We start from the raw sequence: 20,394 nt of genomic DNA on the forward strand, positions 1-20,394 counted from the left end.
AAGACTAAGAAACAGGCAAGAATGACTATAAAACACGACTAATTACAGAAAAGTTAATCTATCTTTACATGAAAAAATTTTGAAACCAATTTTGTGTTTATTGAAGGATTTTTCTCATGCATATTATCCAAGATTTTTTTTCTGTCAGAGTATTAATTTCCTAGGATTGCTATAACAAATTACCACAAACTGGGTACCTTAAAACAGCAGAAATATATTCTCTCACTGTTCTGGAGGCCAGAAGTGCAAAATCATGTTAGCAGGGTAGCTACTACTGGAACTCTGAGGGAGAAACTATTCCATGCTTTTTTTCCTATCTTCTGATGGTTGCCACGATGTATCACTCCAATCTCTGCCTCCAGCTCCATGTGGCATTCTCCATTGTGTCTCTATCTTCTCTCTCTCTCTTTTTTTTTTTTTTTTTTTTTTTTTGTCAGAGTCTCGTACTGTCTCAAACTCAGGTTGCTCAGACTGGAGTGCAGGGCGCTATCTCGGCTCATTGCAACCTCTACCTCCTGGGTTCGAGTGATTCTTGTGCCTCAGCCTCCTGGTAGCTGAGATTACAGGCACTCACCACCACACCTGGCTAATTTCTGTATTTTTAGTAGAGACGAATTTTCGCCATGTTGGCCAGGCTGATCTTGAACTCCTGGGCCTCAAGCGATTCGCCCGGCTTGGCCTCCCAAAGTGTTGGGATTACAGGCGTGAGCCACCATGCCTGGCCTGTCTTCTCTTATAAGGAACACCAGTCATGTTGGATTAAGGGCCTGCTCTGTTCCAGTGTGACCTCGTCTTAGCTTACTTACAACCACAATCACAGTATTTCCAAATAAAGTCTCGTTCTGAGGCTCTAGGAAGTACATTAATTTTCGGGGGACACTGTTCAACCCAGTACATTCAGTTTCTATTTAACGTAAAAAATAATTCCCATACTATAAAGGACGAAAAAAGGACTTGTGAAATAGGTGAATGATTGTTGAATATACAAATGTGATCTTTTATTTTCCAACCACATACAGGGATAATAATTTTTTGGGAATATGTCTCATTCACAAATATGAGTTACATGCAAAGAGAAATTCATACATCGTTCAAGTAGGATTCAGGGAATTAACCTAGGTGCATTCTCTTGTTTCTATTTCAAGCATATTGTTCTCCAGATTTTTTTTCTAATCCTCATTTCCCTGTAGGATTGTTCAGATTTAAATAAAGCCTGTAAAGCAGAAGTAGTAAACAAGCCTGGGTACTAAAGTTAAATATTACAGAGGTAGATAAAATAAGTCTGAGGTAAATTCATGTATTTAATTCTTATCTATTTTGCCCATACAGTTATGCTGATATTTCATTCACTTGGATTCACCAACTTAAAATTTGTAACCATAATGGAGAATCTTTTTTCTGTATTTGAAAAAAGTTTACTAACCACATTAATAGCATATAAATATGATTTCAAGGTTAACTATTTAAGAGAGTATTTATTTATATGTATCATTCATCAACATGCCTCCTTCCATACCCCATGTGCCATTTGACTAATTATCTCCAACTCATCCTTCGGGTCACAATTCAAGTATGATGTTCTCATACCTGGTTTCTGACAACAGATAAAATCCTTACTAGATGCTCTTACAGTACCATGCATGACCTATTTGTAGTATTTACCACTGTGTCCATTTTGTATTGATTTTTGTGATTATAACTAACATAATTTTCCTCTACTAACCTCTACAGGACATGTATTGTGGGCCATGTATATTGTACTTACCTTTGCTTTTCTAATGACAAGTTCAGTGCTCACTGAATAACTGAATAAATTAGAAGTACATATTACACATAAAAAGTTAACATGTGAATTATGAATCAATCTCATCAATTTGTTAAAGAATCTTCTACCAAGCACTCTTTTCCTGAATAAACTTTTACCCTTATTACAGTTACCATATCTTTGTAACAACATTAAGGGAGTGTTGATTTTACTATATTAAATAGATAGCTTTCTATTTCAAATAGATTTGGCTGAATTATTTTGATTAGCTCAATTAAAAATACAAGATTCTAATAAGAGACTTTATTACTTACTAAAGGCATTGTGATCTATTATTAGATACAATTGACATGAAATATGAGTTTTGTGAAACAATTCTCTGTAAGGATTTTACATTTTTACTTTGAGATACATGAACAAAATGGCCATATCATACTGAAAAATCCGTTAAAAGTAATAGACAATAATTTGAAAAATGAAATTTTATCAGTATAACACATATTTAAACAAATATTTTAAAATATAAAATTTGTAAAAAGCCTACATTTGAGAAAGCTATAGTAATTATTCACAAGTAGGGACATTAAAATTCATTCCATAATCATCATTACTTGAGCCAGAGAAAGACTGTTGCAAATTAGAACATCTTTTTTTTTTTTTTGAGACAGAGTCTTGCTCTGTCGCCCAGGCTAGAGTGCAGTGGCGTGATCTCGGCTCACTGCAACCTCCACCTCCCAGGTTCATGCCATTCTGCCTCAGCCTCCCGAGTAGCTGGGACTACAGGCGCCCACCACCACGCCCGGCTAACTTTTTGTATTTTTTAGTAGAGACAGGGTTTCACCGTGTTAGCCAGGATGGTCTTGATCTCCTGACCTCATGATCCACCTGCCTCGTCCTCCCAAAGTGCTGGGAATACAGACGTGAGCCACCACACCCAGCGCAAATTAGAACATCTAAATTCAAAATGTAGGACATGCAGATATGATTATAATATCTTTCTCTTTGACAGCTTGAGTTTACGTATTTAGATAAACACAACATAGTATTATTAAAAAAAATTTCCTGGCCAGAGGAAGGATTGCATTTCAAGAGTCCAATGTGATGCAAAATTAATACATTTTTCCGGTCTTGAGATGCTACTCCCTGAGTGGAACTTTCTCTGTCATGCTAATATTTTCCACAGTTTCTTTTTGAGGAAAAAAAATGCTAAATGTTATCAATTTTTAGACTGTCCCATACTTAAACCTATATCAAGACATTCAGGAACATACCATGAGTAAAGACTAGAGAAACTGCAGAAAAAATTTGAAGAATAAGATGATGGTAACTTATAATTTGATAGTGGCTCTAAGCTTGGCTGAGCGCCCTCTGGGGTTATCTTGTACATCCTGATCTTATGGACTAAGTACCTTCTTGTATATCAATTCCCACATTAAAAGAGCTCTTCTCATAGAGCCGCCTTCTGTGTTTTCGTGGTCTGAACTCAATTGCAATGTTTTCATCACTTACTGTCTAACACTTAGGTTAAACCTTTCTGTCATGCTATTTCAAGCGAGTTCTTTTGACGATGCAATCCTGTAGTGAATGGAAGGAGAGGGTAACAAGGCGACCACCAGGTCTCAGAAACTTCTGAGCTGTCTTCAGTCCTGTGTAGAGTTCATTGAGCTCATTGTTCACAAATATGCGAAGAGCCTGGAAAGTCTTGGTGGCAATATGGGTAGGTCGCTATAGCAAGTCTTTTCGTGCATAAATAGCAGAGAGAGGAAATGCACCTGCGACGATGTTGGCAAGCTGCTGAGGCAGATGCTGCGTGCCTGAACAATTGCTGAAGCGATTTTCTTGGCATGCTTCTCCTCCCCGTATGTTCTGAGGATAGAAGCAAGTGCCTGTTGATCTAAAGCATTCACAACATCAGCAGCAGTGGGCATGTCAGGGTACCTGCTACCATCCATCCTCATGTCCAAGGGGCCATCTTTCCAAAGGGAAAAATCTTTCAGGAGTATCAAGTTGCATGGAGGAACACCCAAGATCCATAAGAACTCCATCAAAAGTCCCTGGCTGCACTCCAGCTTTCATTAACAAGGCTTCTGCCTGGCTGAACTGGCCCAGCATAGCTCGGATTTGTTTAGGATACAACTCTGAAAGATGTTCAGCTAATGCATAAGCTGTCGGGTTTGTGTCCAAGGCATACAGAACAATATCTGACTCCTTCTGTAGAATGGCTTTTGTGTGCCCTCCCGAACCAAATGTCATATCTAGAAAAAATCTGTCCTTTTTGTGGTGACAAACAATGAACAACATCCACCGTTACTGGAGTATGTAATTTAGCCATAGTTTCAAAATCTCTATCTTGAGATCTGCATAACTCCTGGGCTTGAGTTTGGTCTGTTTGCTACTGGGCTTCATATTCTTCATATTTTTCTGCTGTAGTATGTATTCTTTTTGGCCAGATACCTAAATTAGGTATGCCAGATTCCAACCAACATGAAAGACATTCTTTATACATTCTACAAAAATAAGGATACTGAAGCATTCTGTAGGTCAGCAAATCTGAGGCACGAAGACTTCTCAGCTGGCCTCTAACTTGGGCCGGCGACTACCACTACAGTGCCAGAGAACCTGAATTTGCTGCACGCCCAGGTCTTACCCCTGAGGGAAACTCTGTCTTCTCTTTCTTAACTGTTTTTGCCACTTACACTCTTTTTGCATTCAGAACCACTCTCTGCCAACCCACATAATCATGGCATTTGTAGATAGATGCCTTCTGTCCTAGGAACATAGAGCAGTAGATTAGGAAAAACATTTCCTTGGGGCTTAATTTGTTTGAGTCACAGAAGAGATGTTTAGGCTCACAGGTTGTGCTGTGATGGTGCTGCGTGCCAGACCCTGAGATACAGAGGTGCTCATGCGTTCTTTAATACATACACATTTTTGTTTGTGCCCCTGGCATGTGTGGACATATTTTTGTGTTTGTGATCTGTGAAGCTGTTTGAAGAGTGGGAGACAGAGTAAGGGCCTGCATCTCTTCCTTATGTCTGAGGGTGTGCAGGGGGTTGAATAGTGTCCCCCAAAATTTATGTTCACTCAGAACCTCAGAATGTGACTTTATTTGGAAGTGAGGTATTTACAGATGTAATTAGTTAAGGATTTCCAGATGAAATAATCCTGGATTTACGGTGGGCCTTAAATCCAGTGGCTCACGGTGTCCTTAGGGGAGAGAGCACAGACACATATGCACAGGGACGAAGGCCACAGGAAGAAGGAGACAAAGGCTGGAGGTAGACTGCCAAAGGCAAGGAAAGACTGGACCATTAGAAGCTGGGAGAGGCAAGGAATCATCTCCCCTAAGCCTTCAGAGGGGAGCAAGGCCCTGCTGGCAACTTGATTTTGGACTTTTAGGCTCCAGAGCTGTGAGAGAATAAATGTCTGTTGTTTCAAGGCTCCTTTTCGTGGTACTCTGCTGCAGCATCCCTAAGAAACTAATCCAGCGGGGTCCTGGTCACAGTGGATTTCCTCTGACATTGACTCTTGTCTTTAGTAACCAGGGAGAATAATCCAAGAAATATTTTTCTCTCCATGTACCCTAACAATTCTTGTATCAACATGATGGAACCCCATTATAAGTGCATTTGATTTAATCAAATTCAATTTCTCAAAAAAAAGGAAAAAAAAAAGAAGAGAAAACTGATAATTTCAAGTGTTAACAAATAATGTATTTACCATTTCAGTGAGCATGTATCCCATTCAGAATGAACTCTGGGTTTGAAACACAAATCTGTGCTCCTTTATCAGTCATGTTTCCTCATCCTCTCACACTGTAAGCATCTCTCTTTCTTTCTCTGACTCTCTCTCTCTTTTATCACCTTTATATCTAATAAAACCTTCTTCCCAAGTTCAAACACATTAATATACCTGTGCTTAACCAAAGAGAAAGTAATCTGTTCCAATCCTAAAGGAAATGACTCAGCTGCACTGAAATTAGTCACTGCTATGTAACCTAGGAACAAGATGTCATTACTATGTATGCAGTCTGGGAGCTGAATATCAAGCTCTAGACCTACCTGTGAACATTCAAACACTCATTTCCAAACTGAGTAAAATGGTATCTGCCTCTGATGTTGCTCAATTCGTTAACCATTATTGCCATATTCTCACTGTATTGTGATAATAAATAAAATATATAGTTGTGATTCTCAAAAGTTTCTTGAAACTATTCTTAGGCCATAATGTTTACAGGGAAAAATTATGAGAAGAAATACACTCATAAATGTTTGAAAAATCTTGCACCATATAAAACTTTATAAATTTGTCTTGTAATACTTAGGCTATGTTTTAACTTCCTTATTTTTTCCAGGGTGGGAGAAGGAATGTTCTCTGGAGAAATCTGTATGATAGAATAGTGAAGGTAACTGGCCTGAACTACAGCTCTTGAGCCATCTGGTTTCACCTTCAGGGAGGTAAGTGCACTGAGAAGTACTAGCTAAGTGTGGGCACGGACATTGGAACCTCAAGATGCAAAAGAAGAGATATTTTCTTCACATTTGTAGGCAGACTCAACAGTATCTTTAACAGGTTCTTTGAAAAAATATTTCATTGAAAATAGCATGTTATCTGCTGGGTGTGGTGGCTCACGCCTGTAATCCCAGCACTTGGAGGGGCCGAGGCAGATGGATCACCTGAGGTCAGGAGTTTGAGATCAGCCTGGCCAACACGGTGAAACCTTGTCTTTACTAATAATACCACAATTAGCCAGATGTGGTGGCACACACCTGTAATCCCAGCTACTTGGGGGGCTGAGGCAGGAGAATCACTTGAACCTGGGAGGCAGAGGTTGCAGTGAGCCAAGATTGCACCATTGCACTCCAACCTGGATAACAAGAGTGAAACTCCATCTCAAAAAAACAAAAACAAAAACAAAAAAAGTGTGTGTTATCTTGTTAATCTCTGAGATATAAGTAATATTGAAATTTAATATCCCAAGATTTGAAATTCAAGCATCCTAAGCTTAAATATTCATAGCTTACTGGATGCTTGATATTGGGGAATCTATTTAACATGGTAGGGTTATCAGTTTCATTGTTTATAAAATGGGCAAAATAGCAGTTGCTTATAGAATTCTTACAAGGATTAAGATAGCTCCTACAAAGTTTCTGGTGCAGTGCCTGATGTATAATAGGCATTGATCAAATGAAACCTACTATTCTTTATCCTACTGCACAGAAATTTGTATGTTATTTTAATTAAAAATTTGAAAAACAATTTGTAAAATGAGCACTGTTCATCAATAACAGATATATTTTGAAATGATTTGCCGCCAGAAATGATTTTGATTGGGGCTGGTGATTGCTGCTACTGTTTTCAAACAATTTTGTTATATTTACAAAATTTGGGGGCCACAGGAAAATCTCCGCCAGGATTATTCACACCCTGTCACTTCCTTTCTTCTCTTTTGAATGCCTAACATGTAAGTGTATGGAAAGCGTTGCCCAAGAGGAGAGGCCCCAGAAGCTGCTATGCTTCTCCAGACTCTTCCTTTAAAGCTGTAGATGTAAATTCATCCACAATGGAAAGTTTAATGTGTGCCATCTTAGAGTGGCAAAGTGCAGTGTATTTGCAGTAAGACTGCTTAGTATTGTAGGCTCTAATCTATTCATTGTTTATTTCTTGTTGATAATCATGACCACTTGCTGATTGCCCCTCTTACGTTGGCCAGGACAGGGTAATTTTACAGGCTGTATTCAGGGTGCAGACAGTTTCGTGGATGCTCTTCCTCCTGCAAGAAAAATCACTAGAGACAATCACAGTGTTTAGAAGGCTTACAACAAATTATTTTCCACTTGGTAGTCCTAATATTTCGGTTTCAGAAAACCAATTAATACAGTTTACTGGTAAAGAAAGGGAATTAGGTTGGATTAGGATACAAATTCACTGCAATTTTATCTCTTCTGCTGGTGGTAAGAAAGACAAAAAAAGACAAAACAAACTTAACCTGTGAGTACTGATGTACCCACAACCTGCTCACATATTGTGTAGAGATTCTGCCTGTCTGAGGCCTTAATTCTAATAAAAATCTGATGAATATTATGAGATGTTTAATATTATGTTGTCTTAACTTAGAACCCAAGTTAAAATCTGTTAATATTTTTAGGATTTATTTTTCTCTTTTTACTAAAGCGAGCCCTATTGGTCTTAGAATGTTTCTGAGCAGTACATCTTTTAAATGACTTTAAATGACCCCTTACCTCAATATCTTGTTTCTACAGATAAGAATATATTTCACAAAAAGTTGGAATTACAAAGAATATTTTAAAACCCAATCATTTTATCTTTATCGTTTTTAAAATCAAGTGACTCAAAAATATGCATAATTTTTCACCACACAATTTGAAGGTTGTGACACTGACTGGCCCCATTTTGTACATGGTGGACCTGAAATTCCAGCGGTTCATTCCCGTCTTCTGCTGTGTCTGAAAACACACATGCCAATATAATCACAGAGGGAGAACCATGAGCGGAGAACAGGGCAAAGAGGACACAGCCTTATTACATGTCAGATTACTGCTATCTCCGATAGCCTAGGTGCTCCTTCCTTCTTACAAAATAAACATCTTTGTTCCTTCAATAATATGACTTGGCATCTATACAGCATATAAAATATTGTTATAAAATATTGGAAATTTTCGATTCAGACCCCTTAAATGATTTACTCATTTAGTGCACCCAGAACAAAGAAACATACACTGTACGGCAACAGGTGCTTAAAAGAGCCTTGAGGGAAATACATTCATCAGAATGTCATTATATGCTATATGCACATTACTTATTTATTTTCTCATACTGTCCTGAGGAAAAGTAAGCACCTGCAACCCATAGGTAAGGCTTTTATTTACAGGGTCCTTTTACACTCTGGGTAGTTTTTGCCAAAGCATCAAAGCATTGTAGCTGTTACCTTCTTTATATACTTTATGTATATAAGCAGACTCTTTAGCTAATATAAAAATAAAGAAATAGAGCTACAGAAACCCATTTTATTTATTGCCTCTCCCACATCTAAACATCCATTTTAAAATAATATCACTATGTCCTGGAGTATCTCTGTCCTGCTTTGTGTTTTGCTAGTACCAGGTTGGACCTCCACTTACTACATACTTTCTCAGTGCATCATAACTACAGAAGGACCCATGCTATATAACTTTACACAGGTTTTCCTCGTGATAAAAACACGATGGGTTAACAACCCTTAAAATTTCTTATTTTCTTTACCAAATATAATGGTTTTGTAATTTTACACCAGGATCTGCGGCATAAGGAAGGTAAGAGCATTCTGAGTGTGTTATAAAATAATTATCTCTGGTAAATAAAGATCCATATAATTCTTTCCTTACTTATATTAAGATTTCTCCCCCTGCACTTGAATCCTTAGAAAAAGATGCTTTAGTATAAACATGGTCTTTGGCTTTACTTCTAAGAGCTGACATGAACCATAAAGATTTTTTTTCAAGAAGCAAATGCAATAAAGGGAACAATGGAGCCAAATATTGCTTAGTGCTAGGGATATGGGCCACAGCTGTGAACTGGATGAGTAGATTTCCCTGTGCATTTCCACTTTATTCTTCTAAGTATGTACATCTACTTATTCTATTTTATTACTAGTTAGGAAATGCCAGTAAGCATGTGTTTGGCGGAGGTGAGTACATGTCCTTCCCAGTGTAGTTTGGCTCTAAATGATATTCTTATTAGATCCCTGGTGCACTGGGCCAATGGAATAGGCAGCTGAAAAGATATAGAGGAAGGAGTCAGTAGTCTTAAGAAGCAGTCAGGAATTGTATCAATCAGGATTTTTTTTTTCAGTTGCTGATGTCAAAGCCCAATTCCAGTTAGCATGAGCAAACAAAGGTGGTTTATTGGTACTTGTAACGCAATTGCAGGTCGTATAGGTGCAGAGCTGTCCTTAGGGATGATGGAGGCCTTGGAGGTCATCACCTTCGAGACTCTCTGCCTTTATGTGTGGGTTGGCTTTATTTTTTCACTGATGCAGATGGGTTTTCTCTGTGTGTGGTAGAACTCCAGACTCACATTCCTCCAGTTTCATTGTTTGAAAAGAAAGTAGTTCTTTCTCTTCCAGTTCTAGTTAGCAAATCCTCTGGTGCTTTAAGCCAATTACTCACACCTCCTAACTTCTGGGTTCTATCTGAAAGAGAATAACTGGTAACAACTGTTAGAACAACTGGGATCAGTGCATAAAGTCAACCACTGCAAAACAATGGACTGACTGTAGAATAGGTTTACTCCTTCCTCAAATTTAGTCTCAGAACTACCTATGCTTCTACATAATTAACTGTCTGCCTATCTACCCAGCTTCACAGAGGATTGAAGGCCTGCTTCATGCGCTTCTTCGCTAACAGAAATGAGAGAAAGAGAGAGACATTTTGGTCAGGCTTATCTCTCGAAATTAGATCTTATGTACCCTAACTTTGCATGGCAGCAAAGAAGAAAAAGAGACCATTGTGTTTCTTAGATATCTGGAAGACAGAAAACAGGATCCGGGGCAAGAGTCTATTACTTCTTTTTAAGAGTGGTAATCTGACTCCATGGCCCAATGAGCATGAAGCTCTGACCAGGTAGAGTGGTTATTTCTCCTGTAGTATGGAGGCATGGTAGCTGTGCTCCCTCCAACACTGCCTTCCCAGGCAGAGCAGTTGTTCTTCCTCCTTTAGACAGCTGAGGAGGAAGAGAAACATTTCTCCTTCCCCTTCAGCAAAAAAGAAAGAAAGAAAAAAAAGCCCTGCTTCATGCTGGTCAGGTCACATGTTTATCCCTCAACCACTTACTAAGACCAGGGGACTCAGACACTGTGATTGACCCCAACTGAGACCATGTCCACACTAGTGGATGGATGGGTGCTGTAGGAATTTTACCAGAGATAGAGTGGAGGGATATTATAGTTCAGACACGACCATCAACAATTGTTCTAAGCCAAACAGCCTCTGTGATAAAGATAAGAGGGCAGGGTAGACTGTTGATTTGGAAATTTTGACAGAGAAGTCAGTACATGGTAGATGGATATCAGATACTCAGTGAGTGACAGACCATATACAACATTGTCAAAGAAAACTCTCAAGAACTAGTTCCATAACTTCTTTTTTTTTTTTTTTTTTGAGACGGAGTCTTGCTCTGTCGTCGCCCAGGCTGGAGTATGATGGCGTGATCTCAGCTCGCTGCAACCTCCGCCTCCCGGGTTCAAGTGATTCTTCTGCCTCAGCCTCCCGAGTAGCTGGGATCACAGGCATGCGGCACCACACCTGGCTAATTTTTGTATTTTTAGTAGAGACGGGATTTCACCATATTGGCCCGGCTGGTCTCCAACTCCTGACCTCGTGATCCACCTGCCTCAGCCTCCCAAAGTGCTGGGATTACATGCGTGAGGCACCACAGCCTGCCAGGTTCCATAACTTCTAATCTCGTCAAATGCTTTAAGAATACAGAAGTCTAGAGAAAGTCAAGAAAAGAGAATTTCCAGTAAATCCCCAAGGAAATGTTACTGGGGAGAACTGTTGCCCTGAGAATCTGTACCTCCCACTCAAGGTGGGATAGATAAGAACTTTAGTATGTGACACCTGAAGTTGTGGGGGTATTTATTTCTGCTGCTGGCTGCCTGGTGAGCTCTCCTACCATCAGGACAGATTAAGAGAGGAAGTTGCTTCTATTTGGTGAATTAGTGGTAGTCCTCTAAGAGGGCTGGCCAAAAGTACGTGAAATCCAGGCCATAGGTATAGAGTCCATGATAGGAATTTTGGCCTAGAGTTGTTTCTGCCAGAGGATGAAATAACAGAGAAGTGAGAGTTTATGGAGGATGGGCATTGGGAAATCAGAATTGTAGAGAGGATCAAGATGTCTAACTGAAGAAAACATCCTGTACCATGGGAGCTGAAGCCAGACTGGTGGTAGTCTGCAATGCTATTTTCCTATATTCAGTGCCCTGCCTTTCAGGAGAATTATAAATATCTGCCCTAGTAAACTCAGCGTGGCTAATGAAAGGTGAGCAGAGGTGGTGTTCAGCTTTCATGTGAGAGCCAGCACGTGCACGTTATTCTCTTTTCTCTGCCACTGTGATCTTAGAATCATGTCTTGTGTGGTGGAATCCTGATTAGCCTAAGTCTCCGAATGACTACAGTAAGCACAGCCTGCTTGCCACCCTGGAGGCACATGTTGAGTCAACAGAAAATAAACTGTTGTTTTGAGCCATTGATTCTAAGGGGTTATTTTTACCACAGCATACTTACCCTATCCCAATCAACACAAGGGACATTGCGTGAGAACCTCCAAAGGCTAGAAGCACTCCTCAGGCCTAACTTTACACATCTGCCAGTCCCAGACAGTGGGGCCAGGTACTAGCCACGTAAGAATTCTCCTCTCTTGCTCCTTTATTACGCTAGCTCTGTCTCCATTCTAGAAAACCTTGGCTGGAAGGAGGGAGATGATGGACATCTACTGGTACTCATAATTCTGATTATTATCTGGAACTGGATAACCTAAAACTACTGCCTTGAGATTGTGTTGGCAATGTAATGTGATCATAGGGATGTTTATTGCCTGAAAGTGACCAGAAAAGACAGGAGCCTGCCAGACCCAGTGGCGAGGCAAACGCTTTTCCCTATCTCTCCAACTATTAAAAAACAAAACAAAACTAAGCAAATTAAATCAAAATAGAACAACCCCAAACTTCCCTCCATGAAGTAGAATTATAAGAAAGTGGGAAACAATTTTAAAAATTAGAATCTTAAGTTTATCTTTTGCATTGTACTTAACAAACCAGCTACATGAATAAAGACAGCAGATTTTAAACTAAAATTTTAAGTTAACTTCAGAACTAAAGTTTATTTTTAAATGCAAATGAATGGATGACACTTAAATCTTACATTTATACATAAGAACAAAATTAAATATGAAATTTTAAACATTAGGGCAGTGGTTTGTTTCTTTGTTTCTGTTCCTGGGTGTGTTGTGTGATAGGAGGAGGCTGAAATACAAAGATTTGTGGCGGGAAGCACTGACCCGGCTTTAAGCACAATCCTCAGAGTCTACATCCTTCTTCAATCTTGTCTTCTACTAAAAGGCCTCAAATCTTTGGCAATTCCCCTGACTTTCTATATTCTACTTTCCTCATCTATTAGCTGAGGGTGACTAACTCTGACTCTTCAAGTTTATGTGAGGAGTATCTAATTAAAAGTCTTGAAAATGTGAAGTGCTCTCTATATATTAAATGGCAGTAGCTTTACATTTTCTCTGTGGGAATTAGAGGATTACTGAAATGGATAATTTTATACTTTCATTTCTCTAAAATGGATATACTCATACTCTAAATAGGGAATGTCATTTATTATTCCAGAAATTTAAAAAATATACCTTAAGTGCTGAAAATTTAGTTTATGCTCACATTGATGATTTTTCAGATAGTCAATTCAAAATAAAAACATGCTATGCATATTTTTAATAATAGTATACATTTCGAAGAGCTTGCATATTTATTACTTTAATTGAACCACAGAATTATAGGTTAGGAAGAAACTTTAGCCAACATCTAGTTTAGTGCCATTTTCCTCCTTTTTCCAAGTGTGTGATCAGAGGTCACAAGATGCTCAATAACTGTTTTAGCTCTTATACAGCTAATTCATCTGATACTTTAGTAAATCATCTGAGATAGGCAGGACATTTTTCTATTTTCATTTTCTAAATAATTAATTTGGTTCAAAATATTTTGAAGGTTTTAGACAAAAGTGTCAATTTTGGATTAAGAAGCAGAGATGGGGAGGTGAATTGGCTTGTATGCAGGATTATGGGCAGACTTGGCAGAGGAAGCCCAGGTTTTTTGACTCTTAATTCTGGTGTTCTTTCCATTCCACTTAGGTGCAATTAATTCTGCCTGTCATATTAGGCTCTTAAATTGAGGTCTAAGCTGTGTACCCTGCAGTTTAGGTTCATATCACATATCTTGGGGCTGGTAGAGTTTGACAGGAAAAATAAATGACTGGCTTTGTCTAGGTTGGCACAAGAAGAGTATGATCCTTCAGCTGTTGGGAAACAACTTTCATTCTAATCAGAGAGAGATTTGAGAAGCAGTTGCTTGAGTATTGAACATGAAGCTGAAGGACAATTGGGCGCCTCAAGGCAGGGCTTAAAGTTTCTGGCTCTGTTCTCTTTAAACCTGTGTTGGAGACCTTTAGAAAAAAAAAAGGAGCTACGAGAAACCAACTATAGCAGCAACAATAAAGCTAGATCACAGTTTCTTGATGAAGATGAGAGGATGGTTGTGTGGAGCCTCAACCTGGTGTGTAAAATATGCTTCTTTCTGCTCTCTTAGGTGCAGAGAGTGCTGGAATGGAGGGTTAATTGACCATGGTGGAAAAGAGAGAAACATTTTGAGGTTTGTGGATTACCCAGATGTAACAGTGACTTGCACATATTCCTCATGGTGTTGTATACAAATGGATCAGCAAGAATCAGATACTACACATCACAGATAAAATCCATAGCAACCAGGAAGCAAGATGGTCACATGGGAAAATAGGGGATGGAATTTTATGGACATTATTCAGACCACCTGGCCTTCTTACTCCCATGTTGACACAAAGAAAGAGGACATGATGCTGAAGGACAATTGGGTGCCTCAAGGCACCTGTCTTGCAGGACTGTAGTCCTAATGATTCAGTTGGTGGAAGGGAACCACGGAATCACAGATTCTGTGTTTGCACAGCCATGCAGTACTGGAAGACCTTTGCACATCTAGGGATGCTGATGTGGGTGGTGTATTGATTCTGATAATGGTGATTAAATGATGACCATTCTCATTCATTAGCAGAAATTTTACCTAACCTAAAAATGTTTAAAAAAACCTAACCATTGTCTTATCTTTCATAGCATACTGTGAGATTGACTATAAAGATGAACATTAGGGAAATGAAGATGGATTAATGTTCTTGGCAGTCTCCAACAACCCCTGCCTTTCATAGGTAGTCTTACTTCTTGTCGATTTATCAGTTACTTTCTGGCTCTTAAGTCTTATGCTCCTCTGTGAGACCTGTTAAGAGGGATGGTATATACTTGTAGGTAGAAGACTAGGGAATGGAAGTTGGAGACTTCCATTCCATTAACATAGAAAGTAATCTAGGGATATAATAATGGACTGTTTAGGGGTATAGTACAATGGCCCATCCCTGAATAAGGAATATGCTATAGGTTTGCTAATTTTACTTGTTCAGGGTATTTCCAAATTATCGAATTTTTGTTTGTTCTTTTTCTATAAGTGAAAGTATACATCAAAATGTTTCTGATGTTTGCAGGTGTGTTTCCTTACTACTGTCCTCCCTAACTCTGGCGACCTCTTTGACCCAGCCATCATCAAAAAGCATGTTTAAGGCCATGATTAGGGTAATTAATGTTAAGAATAAATATTATTTCATTAAGAAACATTATTTAACTCATTTTCCTTATGTGTCACTTAATGTTATTAAGTGACCAATTAGTTTTTAATTATTTCAAATAAAATCTAATTGTATTTTAATGTCATATAGGTAGATTTTTCAAATATGTATGTTCACATTTATATTTAGAAACATACAATGGGTCATCTAACTAGATATTAAAAACTTTGTATACACTTTTCAAGATCTTTACCTTTGTGTGGAAAGCCAAGCTGCCGAAAAAAATATATATTCTATAGAGTTCTATAACTGGTTAAAGCTCTACAGGACCATCAATAACCAAACATGTGCTGCAGTTGCCTGGAGGCATCGTAAAGTGGTTATTTAAATTAAAGTTGTTTCTTAGTACTTGGGGAAAAAAACTAACACAAATCTAAATCAGATGAGTCATTGTGCATTTTAATGAAAAGTTTTTCTAATATGTAAATAAATCTAGCAAAATATCCTCAATAGTATATGATCAACCATGTATAGGGATCCTCAAAGGATCTGTTGTTCTATACTGTGCCCACTGGCCAAAGAACAGGTACCTAACGTTCTCTAAGAGACTTTACAGATTATACGATGAGATATGGTTTGAACTCCTGTTTTGGCTGACTCCATGCAATCGCACAGTGCTTTAAAATTGTCTTCTATCCTGCATTTTTCTCAGTCGCAGATAATTCTGGCTCACCTGGATTCAAATACTTGTAGACTTGACGCAATCCAACTACCTAAGATCCAAGTGCCCAAGAAACAACTTTCCAGGCTCAAAAAGGTGTCACTCGCTGGCTGTCATAATACTTGAAATTTCTATCACTATATCACTATACTCATTCTATTAATATAAGCTGATGGCTCCTCTAAAGTGTGAGTATATTACCTACAAAGGGGAACAAATTAGCATATTAAATTTATTATCAACATGAGATTATACTGTAGTATGGGCAGCACCCACTCATTTACCCCTAATTTTATGTGTCCCTGCCGAAGAAGCAACTCTGCTTCCAGTCTTGCTACCTTTGACTGCTCATTGGAGCAATGGTTTCCACTGTCACTCCTCATACCTGTTTCCACCTAGGATGAACTGGCCATACAAAGCGTATTAAATAGGGAGAGATGATGAAAACTGACCATTGACAGGAGAAAGGAGAGAGAATATAGGGAAGTTTTACGACACAGATACCTGCTTAGTGAGGGCAAGTCCAAGTTGGATACTTTAGAGTGAGACTCCCAACAGCCATGTGGACAGCATGAATATGCCAAGAGTTTGAAAAAGGAGCCCCAAATGGACTGGGGCCAGGAGAGTGAGATGACAAAGACAGACTGAATCTTTTACAGTTTTGAGCTTTCTTTGAGTACATACTAGAGATATAACAGAACCAGGTGGAGGAAGGAGGCAGGGAATCTAAAATATTTATGAGCTTGATAAGATTGGAAGAGTTTAAAGCAGGAGGTGGAGACAAATGAGGGTAGACTGGAGGGAGGGATACAAGCAAGGGAGGGCATCTTAAGAGTGCTTCAGAAGAGGCAGTGATGTCAGTGGTGCAGGTGTGGATCCAACTTAGACACCCTGTTCTTGTGGGTAAATGCATATTTTCTTTTTACACGGCTGGGTTAAATTACTTCCCCTAGGTCATTCAATTAATCACTTGGAGAGCAAGGAATAGAATCCAGCTCTCAAGGCTCTCATTTCACATCTGGAGCAGGCAAACTAGGGTTCTCCTTTCTGAAACACCCTCTTTTTTTTTTTTAAGTCTTTTGCAAATCAGTGAAGTTTTGAGCTCCTTTATAAAGAATTTATGAAATCCTGTTACTCTTTGCGTGATTTAAAATTAAGGTGGTGTTAGTACAAAAAAACACTATAAATTGCTTTTTGGTTTATCTTCCATTCAAAAATTTAAAATATCTGTCAAAATTTCTTTGATTTTTTCCCTGCAGATTTCAAGTTATTGTTCTGGGGAGCTGGAAGAAAAATGAGTTACAGATCTGAAAAAGCAGTGTGTGCAGAGCTTAACTGCTGCATGACTGATTGTGTGATATATTGCTCTTTTCACTAATAACCACAAAGCAGGTAGAGGCATGGCAGACTAATTTGGTTTATATGTCCAGCTGTAAGGCTAGACACTGCATCATTCTTTTCAGAAACCAGTGACTTTAGGCATGTGGAACTCGTAGTCATGACAACAATAAACCAGCTTTGAGTCTGTGTTTCAGCTCAGAAACTGCCTTGTCTCCATTACTTCCTGCTCATGACCTGACTTTTCTTACTCTCTGGGGCTGGGGGCTGGGGATTTATGAAAGATCTATTGAACAGAGCTCCAGTATATGTTTAATGCTTAAAATGTCTCGGTTGAAAGTTTTGCTTGCACAGATGGCTAAAGGCTGGAAGGAGGATAGATCAATCATTATTATAGCTAATGACACGGTTATAAGGGCATACACAAAGGTGAGCTGATTTGGAAAATGGGAAAAGGCAATGTGAAAAGTGGGACTTGGAAGCATTGCTTTGAATAACATAAAAGTGGTTATCACAAATAAAATTTTATTTTAAATACATAAGGGAATTTATGATTCTGAGAGGACTTATCCAAAAGGTAAAATGAATAATCAAACAAAAATTAATACAAAAAATTAAGTGAGTGTATGTGTGTGTATATTTATGCAGTTTTTAAACCTGAAGAAACAATTAGCAGAAGCTCATGGCAAAATCTACAAGTGTTCATTTTAGTGTCCCACTAGTTTAATGGTATGATAGTGACTGCCTTCAGAGACAGCGTAGCTCAGTGACCTCTGGGTTCAATGGTCTCCATTTAAATATCAGCTGTAATATTGGGAAGTTGTCTATACAAAGTCTCTCAACATTCTGCTCTAAAGAGAAATGATATGATTTGCACTTCAAAGGGTTGATTGTTGGTGAAATGAGATAATGGAGGAGAAAGCTTAGCTCAGTGCCCTGGATAGAGTGAACCTTCAATAACAGGTAGCTGTCAATGTTGGTTCTATTGGTGTTGTTGCTAGTAGGGTTTGTCATTAATTGAAATCTGTCCTTCCTGTGATTATCATGGTTGAACTCTAGTATTAAAGAGGCCTGATCATAGCGATGGGAAGATTTATTTTTCTTTCTGGAGAGACGTTCTCTGGCTTTACTATTTTCTTTGTATAATCTAGATTGTAAGGAGGGTAGATAGTGGCTAGAGAAGGCATGAATGCCAGACTGAACTGCCAACATAAAAGATGGTGTGTCTGGAGACTTTTGTGCCTTTTAACTGCCCAGTTGTGTTTCTCCCATCACCCAACAAGAAGCGAGAAATTCTACCATCAATTTTGTTTCATTTTCCTTAGCACGTTGGCCTAGTTCTATATGACTGCCTTTTTTAAAGCTCTTATTTTCCAGCAAGTTACCCCTACAAGCCAATAGACAGAGACATAAGACATGAATCAAACCCTAGATAGAAGCCAAATGCTTCCTTTCTTTTCTATGTACTGAGAAATTGAATGATTTACTTTCCCTGAGATCAGCTTCATGATTTCATGATCATGTGGTTAAACTTAGTAACCAACATGCTCCCTGGAGGCTAGCTTTCCCCCATCACCTTGTAGAGTTTGGCTCACCATGTAAAAATCTGATCGAGTAAATTCAATTATTAAGTTATAATTGAGAAATCATGAACCATTAACCGATTATGTACTTTTTCTTATTATAAGAGTTTAACACTGTCATAAACAATTAGATTTCTCTTTACATTGTTCCCAGAGCAGCAGTTATAATTTATAGCAATATGATTGTTTTCCAAAATATATAATTAGATCACATTTTTCTATTAGAAGTTTTATGAGAAAAGAAAATTTTCATATGCCCGTCATTGCATGAAAGAGTTAATATACCTCCAGAAAAGAAGATATATTATTTTTCAATAGTAATATTAATTTTAGAAATATTTAAATTGAGTAAGATAATGGGGTGATTAATATGAGGGAAATGTAAATACTATCATGTTAGATATTTGAAAATATAAAATAAATATATATTATATAATTAATGTATGGCAGAAAAGATGTAATTGAGTGACTAACTTTTCTGGATATCCTAGGTGTTACCGAAAAGTGTAATTACATGCTTATGAATGACCATTAAAGTAGCATTATTACAAAAATATTTTTCATACAGAATGATTTTGTATTGGTAGCTTTTTTAACATCTTTTAATAAAATTGAGTGAGATAAAAATACACCCAAAGTTTGGAAGATTTTCTGTTTTGTCTTAAGGTCTTGTAATTTCATTGATACTAGTCCTAATGTCTCTAAGCTTTAGAGATGTTTTAAAGCCCAGGTCATTTTTCCTAAGTTAGACTGTTTAGTCTATGCAAAAGATAAATCTTCTGAAGATTCAAAATCTTTAAACATGCCCAGAGGAAACAATTGTCTCTCTAGGAGTTCCTTCTTGGAATATTTCTGTCTCTTCAATATTGGTTTATTTTTGTTATTGCTCACAAATGTTGCTGATAAAGGTGTTTCGAGTAAGGAAATTGAAACAATGGAAACATAAATCTATTTCTTAAAATGTAACAGAAGGCTGATTCATCAAATATGGCTTAATGTTTGTGATGTACTTAGCAGCAGAGAGCTCCAGAGTTTTTCCTGGTAGAAATATAGAAATATTTATAACAAAAGGCCAGATTCTTCCCCTTGGAATTCTCTGTGGATCTCTCTCAACCACCAGGGAAAAAGCAGTATCCAGGAATACACAGTCAAAGTAAACTTCTACTCCACAACTTGGTTATATGATTTTATTTTATTTATTTTTAAAATACCTAAATTTTTTACTAATAAGTACAATAAATCAATTAATTTGTAGAGAAAATTCGAGTTCTTCAATTTAGCAGCCAATTTTCCTAACATGGGCTGGAACTAAAAAAACTATATCATCTAGTTTGCAACAAACTTGCTGCAGTTAAAGATGCTAATTGCAATGATTCATCATAATTCATTGTCAAGATTTGACATAAAATAGCTGGGATGATTTATTTTTAGTTTACATAGTTATATATTGTGATTTCAGTAAATGTTCACTCACATTTTACAAAGGCTTATTATTTCTCTACTATTATTATTATGCTCTGAAAATTTCAAATAATTTCCTGTTTATTTTTCATTGTTTACCTGTCT

At 37.9% G+C, this 20,394-nt stretch overlaps 1 long non-coding RNA gene and 1 pseudogene across 1 annotated transcript in view, besides 2 other annotated features; one reads left to right on the forward strand and one right to left on the reverse strand.

The window, feature by feature from the left end:
• LRIG3-DT (LRIG3 divergent transcript) overlaps positions 1-20,394 on the forward strand; it is a 210,172-nt gene that overhangs the window by 129,183 nt on the left and 60,595 nt on the right. Inside the window, exon 3 of the long non-coding RNA NR_183518.1 lies at positions 6,120-6,222. This is a non-coding gene — a long non-coding RNA (LRIG3 divergent transcript). The remainder of the gene's footprint in view (positions 1-6,119; positions 6,223-20,394) is intronic.
• On the reverse strand, positions 3,235-4,426 carry METTL15P2 (methyltransferase like 15 pseudogene 2; annotated as a pseudogene).
• Positions 5,164-6,363: an enhancer, noted in NCBI's record as "MED14-independent group 3 enhancer chr12:59448831-59450030 (GRCh37/hg19 assembly coordinates)". NCBI's record gives its function as "activates an origin of replication core promoter dependent on BRD2, BRD4, P300/CBP and CDK7 cofactors, and independent of MED14, by STARR-seq in HCT116 cells {active_cell/tissue: HCT116}" and the evidence as "EXISTENCE:reporter gene assay evidence [ECO:0000049][PMID:35650434]".
• Positions 16,523-18,700: an enhancer, noted in NCBI's record as "VISTA enhancer hs1427". NCBI's record gives its function as "enhancer in: somite[5/9] | limb[5/9] | branchial arch[5/9]" and the evidence as "EXISTENCE:transgenic organism evidence [ECO:0001131][PMID:17130149]".

This window comes from Homo sapiens, chromosome 12, assembly GCF_000001405.40.
Source record: "Homo sapiens chromosome 12, GRCh38.p14 Primary Assembly".
In the NCBI taxonomy this organism is placed as follows: domain Eukaryota; kingdom Metazoa; phylum Chordata; class Mammalia; order Primates; family Hominidae; genus Homo; species Homo sapiens.